The sequence below is a fragment of the Homo sapiens genome, chromosome X, assembly GCF_000001405.40.
Source record: "Homo sapiens chromosome X, GRCh38.p14 Primary Assembly".
In the NCBI taxonomy this organism is placed as follows: Eukaryota; Metazoa; Chordata; class Mammalia; order Primates; family Hominidae; genus Homo; species Homo sapiens.
The window spans coordinates 17,992,187-18,004,945 of record NC_000023.11 but is presented as its reverse complement, the minus strand read 5'-3'; the positions used below and the strand labels follow the sequence as shown (position 1 = coordinate 18,004,945).

Here is a 12,759-nt window from a genome sequence, read left to right as displayed (position 1 = left end):
ATCTTACCAAATATTTGAAATCTTATAGTTGATTGCGTTTTCTTTTTTCATTCAACATTCATTCAATGCATACTAATACTGGCACCTGCTAAGTGCCAGTCACTAGTCTAGGTCCCGGGGAACACAGCAGGGAACAAAACAGACACATATACTTGCTCTCATGGAGCCTACATTTCAGTGTAGAAAACACACTCTGATTGTTAGGAAATACAGAGCCATATTTCAGGCCACCTTCAACAACTGTAAATGACCATATAAAATACATTTCTGGTTTGAATATGGCTCCTGGCTGTATGGTTCTCTAACCCTCATCATCTCTTTACCTGATTCTCTCTACTTTTTCTTTTTCTCTTTTTGGCTACTGTGTACATTTTATTTTTGCAAAATGCCTCAAACCCTTCATAGAATGAGGCAGAATATAAATAAACCACTAATTATGTGCAGCAAAGCCAATGCAATGCAAGAAAGTTATAGAGAATTGCATTTTATTCTAATACACAAATAGTCTAATATCCTGACATGAAATGGCTCATCTTATAATCTAGTGACTTTTCTGACCTTAGAATTGGCTGTTCACCTTGTCTGTGGAATTCTGACATGGTGCTTCTGCCATGAAGTGGTTTCTACTGGATAATATCTCAGGTGGCTTTTAGTAGTCTTGATAGTATGGAAATTCCATGATTTCAATTATTCCACACATCACAACGGCTCCTATTCTCCCCACAAGTCCCCAGACACAATATCTATTGGAGAAGATGAATTCTTTGGGAAGATGGTAACTCTGGAGAATCCCAAGAGGCAGGGGAGGGGAGACGGGTGGAGAGGGAGAGGGTTTTCTGCCAGAAAAGCAGCTCAGGGCTCAAATCCTCCACCTGGTCCATGTTTTGTGACACTCACTAAAATCTAAACTTCTGCCTTTTTTTCTAACTTGTCTTGATCCAATTCATGGTTTTCTTCAGATGAATAAAATATTCCTGTATTTATAGTAGATGCTGTAAACCAGCCAGCCGTGATATTTTTTATATCATAAGCAGCTGCTCTCTGAGCCGACACTGAGTAAAAAAGGCCGATTTGTATTTTTACAGCCAGACATGAAACCAGCTTTCAATAATTTGGGAAGCACATGCCACCACTTTGATCCTCAGGGTGGTAATTTTTAAATGAGCCTCTAAAGATTGCAGATACTCCAATTAATATAATCCTGAAAGGTAGCCCCATTGTAACCACTTACTCAAAAACAGGAAATTTTAAAGAATTAATTGATTTTAACTTCAATATGAAATATTGGCACTTGTGATGATACTACTCTGTGAATAGGTAGAGGCAGCATTTATGACCTTTTTAACTACATTCCATTCACTGAAAAATGACAACTATGCTAAAGAAATACTTTCCTCCTTGCTGCTGGCTTCTCCCAATGAGAGCTTTTAGTAAAGGGCATAGAAAGTCCTGCCAATAAATAACAAAAATTTACTATCCCCACCATCATTTTACAGTCTTGCCCTCCCCACAAGAGGAACACAGAAAGCAGAATAGATGAAATCAACCTGCTTTGCTCAGCACCAAGGACATATTATTACTCAAACTGGGCAACTAAGGGAGAGATTAGTCTAGGAAGAATACACAGACGGAAAATGGTGTTGCCCCAGAAACATTTCTTGTTTTTTGTTGTTGTTGTTCCAGTTTCCCACCACTGATAGCTGTCTGCTCTGATTTATCTCCAATGTTACAGAAATCAGAATTTTCCTCACCTTTCGAGGACACTGAAAGATAGAAACCCCTTTGCGTCAAAAGCCATCTAGAAGGAACCATGTCTGCATTCCTTTTGTGGGATTTAACACCCCTCTCTGTATAAGAGAGACTAGGATGCTTTAGAAAATGCATCTTCAGACTCCTTGAATTGAGGAAGGAAGAGAGAGCCAGAAAGAGCTTAACTGGAATGAAAAGCATTTTCCTGGACTCTGCTCTCCTGAATTAATCAGCTCCAGCATAGGCAGCTTAAAGAGCTTGTTGGGGAAAAATTTCTCGCTCATATGTCTATTTCTAGCCAGGCTGTATACAGATGAGTGCTTTCTAGCCTTTGGTCTGGGGCCATTGCTATCCAAATCAAAACAACTGTTTGCCATTTCTATAGAGAACTTTAATGATCTGAAAGGAAATCACAGGATGTAGAAAAAGACCCAGATTTCTCTCCATTAGTGGTTTCAAGGGCTCTTGGTATAGTGATTCTTGAAATTACAATTATAGTTCACGAAGTTTCTCAGACAAAGCCCAGCTATTAGATTTGGTTTAAGGAAAGAACAGGGAGAGCTCTGGGCTTTATCTAATAGAACCCCAGCTTTACAGTCCTTGTCTAAGTCTTTAAGGAAAATAACTTACACCAGGGAGTAAAAAGATATATTTCCTTCTTAGTAAGTAGGCCTTTAGAACCTAGCACAAGTTCTTCCCCCCGCCCCCATTATTTTGGGCTTAATACCTATATTCAGGCTATTATTTTCATAGTTAATCCCTTGCTGCTCTAAATACATTTTTTATTATACCACTGATTTCAATAACATTACTCTGCTTCCACTTACAGTGATGGCATACCCAAACTCTCCCCAAACAAGAAATGCATAGGAGCAAACGAAAAGCATTGATGATAATTGAGTTTCTGCAATGGATTGCCATTGGGCTAGCCATTTTCGCCAGTGCAATTAAAGTCTCTACGCATGTGCTATAAGATTAGTATAATTCTCTCCATTTTTTAGATGAAGAAACTGAGGCTCTAGGAGATTCACCCAAGCCCCCAAGTTTCTACAGTTTGAACTCAGGTAGCCTGACTTTAGAACCCGTGCTCTTTTCTGATAGACAAAATTGCCTCTTGTTCAGGATTGAAGATACAATCTACATTTCGTAGATGGCAATGTAAAGGCTAAGATTTCAGACTTTCTCAGACTCCCACAGTGATCCTTGCCAGGTTGGTATTCCTGGAAGTCTGTTTACAATACCATAGCACTCAGCACAGTCACTCAAGACAGATCATCTGGCTGAATCAGAGTGGTGCCTGGGCAGCACACGGGACTCTGTAAGAGAAGATCTTACAAGTTACCTTATACTTAATGTAAAGAATAGCTTTCCTTGGGAATGGTAGAAGCCTGCCCACAATAATATTAACCCACTTGGTTATGTTATACTGTCTTACTGGCAGCCTGCACCCATTCATCTTTACTATTTTTACTATTTTGTTGCACCAAGTGATTACTGAGTTTTCCTATATTCATGACAGCAACGTGGAATTCTGATTTCCCACTTACGCTACACAGGCATACCACCCAATGAAGATAACTGAACTTTCTTCAAGAACTGTATATTTCTACACCATTCCTGGGACCCAGCATGGAGAATGAATATACACCCAGAAAGCCTCAAAAGAGATGTTCCTTGATACTTCCAACCACTCAGAGTTAGCAGAATGGGATCAAAGATCCCTTTTCCTTTCCTTGTACAAATGCACTCTGCACATCTGCATCTGAGTAGGAGCCCCGGATTTCTACATAAGTCATGGGAAGTCAGGTCAGGGCAGAAGGGCATTGTGGCGGAGGCTAACAGCTGGCCACCAAAATCCATTGTCCCCTTCTTCCACAGTAATAAAGTTGTTGCCAGACACATCGAAGGCCTCTGTCATGTTCTTACATTTGAGCCCCTCTGTACAGCTACAGTGTATTTAAACATAATTGCCTGGCGACACGTTTGCTAGTATTGTTTGCAGTTATTTGTGACCATGTGACTATGCTCTAGACCAGTGGTTCTAAAAACATCAGCATCACCTGAGAGCTTGTTAGATATACAAATTCCCATATTCAGTGAATCAGAAACTCTGGGGGCAGAGCTCACAGTATGCATTTTAACAAGACCTGCAGGGTATTCTGATGCATGTTGAGGTTCCTGAAAATAAAACGTGAATAGAAATAATGTGTGGTCCTTCCATGCCTAGGCCTAAAGACATTGAGTAGGCCTCTTCCATGCTCTTGTCCTGCTTCCTTCAGGCCAGAGCCAGATAAGGCTTCAACCTCGGATCAACCATGCTGATGGAGACAGTGCTTTAGGGCAGAGGTTTTATGCCAGTTTGATGAAGCTAAAGAGTCTCAGATTTAAGTTTCGAATGCATACAGTAAAATATATAAGATTATTTTTAAAAACCATTTGTATTGGCCTGGTGCAGTGGCTGACACCTGTAATCCCAGCAGTTTGGGAGGCCAAGACAGGCAGATCACTTGAGGTCAGGAGTTTGAGACTAGCCTGGCCAACATGGTGAAATCCCGTCTGTACTAAAAATACAAAAAATTAGCTGGGTGTGGTGGCATGCACCAGTAATCCCAGCTACTTGGGAGGCTGAGGTGGGAGAATCACTTAAACTCAGGAGGTGGAGGTTCCAGTGAGCTGAGATTGTGCTACTGCACTCCAGCCTGGGCAACAGAGTGAGACCCTGTCTCAAAAATGAAAACAAAAACAAATAAACCACAAATCTTTGAAACAGCACTATATGTACAGTTTTAGTAATGCATTAACAAGATCTGGTGGTAGGTATAATGACTTACATAAATTTGAGATATCTGCAAAAACTGTAATATAATATGGAAAATATCTGTGATTTCTCTTTTTTTTTCAATTCAAATGAACATTTATTGTCTGTGATTTCTATTGGTGACAAAGTTCCAGGTACTCCTACTATAGGTTGTTGTCTACATTTCTAATGTAAGGAAATGCTAAATTTCAATTAGAGATTTGTGGTAGGCTGAATAATAGCCCCCAAAGACATCCATGTGTGAATCCCAGAACCTGTGACTGTTACCTTACATGGCAAAAGGGACTTTACAGCAGAGGTGATTAAGTTAAGGATTTTGAGATGGGAAAATTATCCTGGATTATTCAGGTGGGGCCTAAATGTTATCACAAGTGTCCTTATAAGAGGAAGACAGAGGGAGATTGGATAATAGATGAGGATAAGGCAATGTAATGATGGATGCTATGTTGCCAGTTTTGAAGATGGAAGAAGGGTCACAAGCCAAGGAATGCAAGGAAGACTCCAGAAGGAGGAAAAGGCAGGGAAATTGATTAACTGCCAGAGCTTCCAGAAGGAACACAGCCTTGCCAATACCTTGACTTTATCCCAGTGAAACTGATTTAAGACTTCCGACCTCCAAAACTATAAGGGAATAGATCTGTGTTATTTAAAGCCATTAAGTTTGTGGCCATTCGTCACAGCAGCAATGGGAAATGCATATAAGGTTAGTTAAAATAATGGTGATTTTTTTTTCCATCAGTGTTCATGAACCTCTTGAGTTCTATCCATGAACCCTAGGTTAAGAATTCTTACCCTAAGGTTTTGGGGAGCTACAAAGTGGAAGGAACCTGGGTCCTTGAATGACTCCATGAGGCAGTGCTGCCTATGAATATAGAACCCTTACTTTAGACCAATACTAAGAGAAAAAAAAACGTCTTTGATTCTTTAAGCCACTGAATTTTTGGAGGCTCTTTGTAATAGCACCATAGCTTCCCTTAACTATTATGGTTAGTAGGTGATGCTTCAAGAGGGTACAGGGAATAGATATAAGGGAATCGTATATGGACAGGAAGAAGAATACAAAGCACCTCAGCCCATCTGACTAAGGAGCAAACAGTACTGATGAGTGGTAAGGGCTGGAAACAGACCCAGCAAGGTCAGGAAGCTGGGGCTGCACATCACAGGGCAGGGTGAGAAAGGGGTGGAGTCATGGAAGGTGGGGCAGCCAGGGCCCCAGCAGCATGAATGACTGAGGCCCTCTTTGTGTTTCAGATTTCATGTCTGAGGGTCATTCTCAGCTCACTGAATGCCCTGGAGTATTCAGCCAATAGGACCTGGACTTCTCTAGCAGCCATGCAAAAGAGCTTGGTTTGGGGTTTAGTGCATGTCTTGATGGTACCTTGCAGACACTTGGGCTCTTGTTCCCCCAGCCATGAATCTCTAGCCTTGTTCTCCAACTCTGAGACCCAAATGGGCTCCTCTAGTTTGAACAATCTTCTGGTCTCCCTTCCCTGCTTCTTGGACCTCAAAATTCAACTTTCCTCACCTTGCTGTCTTTAGTTCCCCTAAGGTGAAAATTTCCAACTTCAACCTAGCCTCTCACCTCCTGTTTCTTTAGAAACCCACCCCCAAGCTGAGCATGCCTCAGCCTCATCTGGAATGGATAAGGCTTCCAAAAGACATCTTTTCATCATGGTTCTGCCTTGAAATAAAGAAATGAACACTTCTCAAGAGTATTACTTGAAGATAAATTTATCTTCATTTATTATATATAGACATCAGCAGTTGAAGTCAATCACTAAGTGATGAAAAAGTATGAGTGTACATGTGCACAGAGTACTCATATTTCTTAAATCTTTCTGCACATGTTAAGAGGTGTTAAGGAGGAGAGAAGTTAGGTGGGTAGTTTAAACCCTACCTTTACATTGTTTTAATGTATATATAATGATTTTCCTTGTACAGTTCCTTATATTTATCAATAAAACCCGGTAATCCCGTAATAAAGCAGAGTCGCTGAAGAATGTCTGTGATGAAATTTTGGAGATGTTAACAGCTGATGAAAATTGAAAAAAATGAAGTAATAAGAACAAAATTTTCTTCTGAAAATGCCATCTGGAGTAGCCATTAAATAATCATAACTCCTCACATTGGTGGGAAATTTGGTCAGACCGAAGTAAATGTAAGCGCAACAACAAGAAAGTTCAAATAATTAGACAAATATAAAGAACTAATGAAAAGAATGTCTTTTCTTAATTGTACATTTTGATATAAAAATATCTAAATTAACTCTGGGGATAGGAATATATAAATTATTATTAAAATATGACTATAACTTAATTACAGTTTTGTTTCATTTAGTTCCTCAAATGCATTCCTGGAAACTTAGGCAAAAATCTATCAGTTTTTTTCTTGGTTATAATTATAATTTTGGAGCTTCCATGAATACATGAAAGTCAATTGCAAGAAATTTTTAAAAGATACCAATTATAATGGTAACAAAACTATATAAGGTACCTAGGAATAAATCTAACATGTACAATAATTCTATGAAAAAAATTGTAAAACTATTGAAAGATGGTAAAGAAAAACTAAATCAGTCAAGTCTATGAACATACTATGTTCACAGGTAGGAGGATTTAATAGGATAAATAGTCTACTCTTCCCCAGATTGAACTATAAACTGAATACAATTGAATACAATTTCAACAAGATGGATCTTGGCATACTGCTTCCAAAATATACATGAAGAATAATGCTGCAGCCTATCTAAGATGCTCCTAAAGAAGAGAAACCAAGTGGAGGAATTGGCTCGCCCAAATACCATGACTTATTATATAACTGTGTATAATAATGTAGAGGTTCATTTTGGATAGTGTATGGTGAGGTGGGGATTCGTTTCCATTCTTTCCCCTAGAGACAGACTATTACCTCAGTATCATATATTGAATAGTTCATTTTATCTTCTTAATTTGCAATATGCATGTATCTGTGTCTGTGGTCTCCTTCCTGTTCCCTTGTTTAGTCCCTATGCTAATCTCGGAAGTAATCCCATCACTTTTGCCATACTCTATTGGTTAGAAGCACATCACTAGGTCCAGTCCACATTAAAGGGAAGGGGATAACACAAGAGCGTGAATATTAGGAAGTGGGAATCACTGGAGGTCATCTTAGAAGTCAGCCTGCTACAATATATGTCAGCCCAATAGGAAATTATACAAAAGGCATTAACAAATATTTCACAAGGGAAACACAAAAGACTTATAAACAGTTGAAATGCTGCTCAACTCCATTAATTAATTAATTTCTAATACCACAGTGGATATCATTTCATGCCCACCAAAACAGAAAAATTCAAAAATGACTGTATTAGTTGTTGATTATTTCCATATGTTGGAGCAATGCTAACTAGTACATATTTTTCATAAGTGTGCAAATTGGTACAACAAAACTTTGGAAAAGAATTTGGCATTACCTAATAAAGTTAAAATGCAGAAACCTTTAGCCTGATAATTTAACTTCAAGCATACACTCTAAAGAAACCGTTGTGCATGTGCCCTGGGAGAAATGTACAACAACATACATAGCAACCTAATTTGTAATAGACCAATACCACAAAGCCAAATGTGCAGCACCAGTAAAATGGATAAATTGTGACATAGTCATACAATAGAATACCATCTAGTAGCTAAAGTGAATAAACTACAGCTATACACATGAACATGAGGAACATTAAAAAAAAAACCATATTATTGGCTGGGTGCGTGCGGTAACTCACATTTGTAATCCCAGCACTTTGGGAGGCTGAAGTGGGCGGATGGCTTGAGGTCAGGAGTTGGAGACCAGCTTGGCCAACATGACAAAACCCTGTCTCTACTAAAAAAATACAAAAATTAGCTGGGTGTGGTGGTGGTGCACCTGTGGTCTCAGCTACTTGGGAGGCTGAGGCATGAGAATGGCTTGAACCCAGGAGGCGGAGGTTGCAGTGAGCTGAGATCATGCCACTATTCTCCAGCCTGGGTGAGAGAGTGAGATATCATCTCAAAAAAAAAAAAAGAAAACAAAAACCAAAAAACAAAAAACCCCCAAAACCCACCATACTACTGAGTGATATAAACAATTCATAGAGATTAGCATACAGTATGATGTTATTTATATGAAGTTCAAGAACAAGGAAAGCCAAATAATTTGCGTATTTATATATCTATATCTATATCAATATCAAGAAAGTTATTAACAAAAGCAGGATAATGAAGTTTCAAAGCTGTTGGGCAATGAGTACTTAAATGTTTATTATTATTATTATTATTTCAGCAGTGAGCACACAATACATTATCTTATATATGGTGTTTTTGTGTTAAAAAGTATAGGGAAAAATAACAATAGCTACTGTTTTTTGAGCATCCCTCTGTGCTAGCCACCTTGCAGGTGCTCTCTTTGAAGGAATGCATCCTGAGCTTTTTTTTTTTTAATGCTCCACCTCTCATTTTCTGTTTATTGGTTTTTACTTTCAGGAGTCCTAACCTAAAATAAAATAGAACATACTGTGCTTAAAGCAAGGGGGGAATCATGTAACAATAAAACCAGTGAAGAAAATTCTAATGCTCAGGTAAGGTAAGTAGAATTTTACCTTTATACACAAGCCAGAAATTATAACCATTTAATCTACCCACAGAACCCTCTGGGCCAAAAGTAGCCAAATGGACAATCAGACTGTAGCAGGATTTCTTAACCTCAGTACTATTGACATTTGGGGCCAGATCATTATTTGCTATGCAGCTGTCCTGTGCATCGCAGGAGGAGATGCGTAGCTCTCCTCCCCAAAGTTGTGACAACCAAAAATACTTCGTACACTGTCAAGTGTTCCCTGGGGAGGCAAGATTGCCCCTGTTTGAGACCCACTGAACCAGATGGTCTTGGCACACTCAGTGGAAGTACACACATAGGGAAACTATCAAATGTCTATCTTATATTTCCTTGGTATTTCTGTCATTCATCTATTCCCTTGACATTTATTGAGACACATTCTTAAGAACTAAGTGTTAACTTTAACAGTTAAATGATCACTTCAGGTTTCTTGAATACTAATCACCCGGCATCAGCTCGGAAATAATCCAACAGTTTATAATCACAAGTCTGCATTTCTTTATTGTCAAGATCTTTTCAAAATAAATAGAAGACTAGATAGACCTCAACAGGATTCAAGTATGCATTAGTGTCCACTTGTAGGTTTGAGCTGACCTTAAAGGGGGCCAATTACGCCCTCCACACTCAAGGCTAATGGAGTTTTTTTGAAGTTTTGTTGGGTTTAGCATATGAGGAGCTTCCAGCTATGTAAACTGGATAGCTGCTTAAATTGATTAAATCATAACCTGAGCTAAGTGGATATGCTGATAGCAAGACTGACCTGTATTAAAAATTTAGGGAAAGGACACTTGAAAATGTTAATGCACACACTTATATGTATGCATAGCTTTTTTTTCTACTTACATAGGAGAAAGGTTTTCAGCCTCTCTGTACATGGTGAATGTAGGCTGCAGACTTCATGAAACCCTTTGGATGTTCATTTTCTTTGCTTAGTCATTTAAAAGACTCTTCTCTAGCTGTGCATGATTTGCTCTTTCTCTGTCCTTGCTCATATTTTTAAATTGTGCATTTACAAGGAATAAAAAGAAACTCCTAAGTTGCAGTGTAACTGTGCGCAAGGAGTGTATTTTGGTCCCTGCTGCTGTGTCAGAGGCTCAAAGAAGGGATGCTGTTGCCATAGAGACAGAAATGTTGAGCTGGCTCTATCACCTTTGCCCTGCTATTTAGAATCATATGCACAGCAAAGCTCTGGCAGACACAGGGCTTTCTCTGGTAGGTCAACCACCTCCTCCCTTTTTCTCTTTTAAAAACATCAACTTGGCAGATTAATGCCATTTTCATTTATGACTGTTATAAAACATAACGTAAATATCCTCTTGCACAGAATGAATGGGCAGCTCTTTGTGTCATCTCATTCCAGCATGAAACTGAAATTCCTTGAGAGTTTGCCAAAACCAGTTCCCCTAATGGGTTCTACCCTCTATCTTGGCTTTCTAAGAGTACCAGAGCAGTGGGTAGAGAACAGAGAGAAACCATGGACATTATAAGATGAGGCAAAAGTGATAGAAAGGAAGTTAATTGCAGGCTTTTAAAATGTTGTTTAAACAAACCCCTCTGTGCTTGGGATACAGGCTCTTCTCATACACTCCTGGTGAATGAGTGGGCCCATGTTGGCTTTCTGAAGGCAATTCAGCAATACATATCAAAAGCCTTAAAAATGCCTCTTGGCCCATCAATTACAATTCTAGCGATTAATTATAAGAGCACATAAGTGATTGTAAATAAATATTTTACCACAGTTTTATTTACGAGAGTGGAAAACTGGAAACATCCAGTTTCAGAAACATGCTCACAAAAGCGGATTGGTTAAATAAATTCTAGTACACTACACAATGGAATACTAGGCAACTGTATTAAATAACAGTGTAGAAGGTTATTTATTAACTTGGAAATGTATTCAAGTGATACTATTTAATTTAAAAAAGTTTACAAATCACTAAGTGCATTAGTATTCCATTTAAGAAAAATAATTATTGAAATACACACATATACACATGGAAAACTGAAAGGTTATATACCAAATTTTGGTTCTTTGAGTGTTATTTTAACTTATTCTTTTTACTTCTCAATTTTATAAGTTTTACAGTGACCCTCTATTACTTGTATAATTTAAAAGGGTCAATTACTAAAAAAAATTAATTCGTATGCATATGAAAAACATTCTTTAACTTAAAAAGTCTTAGAAGTGTTTCTTAGAGAAAGGGAATTTCTACTCAATGTCCTCAGAATTTCAAGACCAAGTCATTACCTTCTGCTCTCAAATGGATCCTTTTCAGAATTTTGGGGACACTTTTTTAGGCCCCACAAAACACAGTCAGTTAAGTCCAGCTAAAAGCATTGAACTTACTGAATTTTTGAGCTACTCTAAACTGGTGTCCAGAATAGCCTCCAAGAAAGCAGGGCTCACTCTATCCATCACCTCTGCCAGAACTCTCGGCTACCCAGGTAACGACATCCACAGAGGGGAGGCACCAGCTGCTGCTGAGAGCTGAGATGAGGTGCAGATGAGGGGATTTAATAGTCCCATCTCTGTCCTCTCAGAATCCTTCCACTGGGGATGCAGGGATGGGGGTGGGGGAATAAACCTTGAGCAAACCATAAATAAACTTGCTGCTAGGATGTGATTGCAACTCTCCATGCTCTCTCGCTTTCTATCTTTCTCTCTCTCTCTTTCCAATTCTCTCTCTCTCACACACACAGACATACACAAATTTGTCATTACCAATGAACCCTTTTTTCAATATGACATGGAGGTGAGTATTCCTACATCACCTGTACTTATTTCCTTTCCTAATGGAGAAATTTTTGTGAGTCCAAAATAATGTGCAGAAGCATTGGATGCGAACAATTGAGACACGACCACAGTTGCTCGTCACTCTAGTGACACCTTCCCCTCCAACTATCAATTTCCTCAACACGATCACAGCAAACAAGATAAACACTTGGGTCACTACAAAGCATAAGACCACCTTAACAATATTTCCATGGACCCACTGTAAAACATGAACACCATATTAACTGTGGAGTTCTTGAAACTGCAGGATGGGAGGAGTAGCCCTTTCCATCGCCCCGTATCCCCAGCCCTGGCAGCTCTGGAGGGGTGTGGCCTATATTATTTAACAAGCAGTGAAGCTAAGGTCTCCAAGCTCCTCTGGCTTGCCCTAAAACTTCACTCTCAAGTTTTCATTCACTGACTGCCCTCCTGTAGCCGGACAGGCAAAGCAAATCAAAGACAAAATGCCTCCCCAAGTTTCCATTAGCTGGAGCTTTTTGAATAGCAACCCTTAACCACAAGAACAACATCTACACAGGCTTTGGTGAAAAACAATATTGGTTAAAAGAATAAGATGGAATGGCCTGGAATAAAGCACCAAAACATAGGACAGAAATGATTTGTCTAGACTAAATACAAGGCATTGCTTTTCATTTTCTCAATATTGCTTTTGATACGGTATGCAATAGACTAAATGTGCTCCTCCACGAAATTCACATGTGAAACTCTAACCTCCAACGTGATGGTATTAAGAGGTGGGGCCTTTGGGAGGTGATTTGGTCATGAGGGTGGAGTT

General features: G+C 39.0%; 1 long non-coding RNA gene across 1 annotated transcript in view; it reads left to right on the top strand.

The window, feature by feature from the left end:
• The window catches only part of LINC01456 (long intergenic non-protein coding RNA 1456), a 134,472-nt gene that overhangs the window by 99,699 nt on the left and 22,014 nt on the right, over window positions 1-12,759 (top strand). The window contains exon 2 of the long non-coding RNA NR_133641.1: window positions 9,058-9,157. This is a non-coding gene — a long non-coding RNA (long intergenic non-protein coding RNA 1456). The remainder of the gene's footprint in view (window positions 1-9,057; window positions 9,158-12,759) is intronic.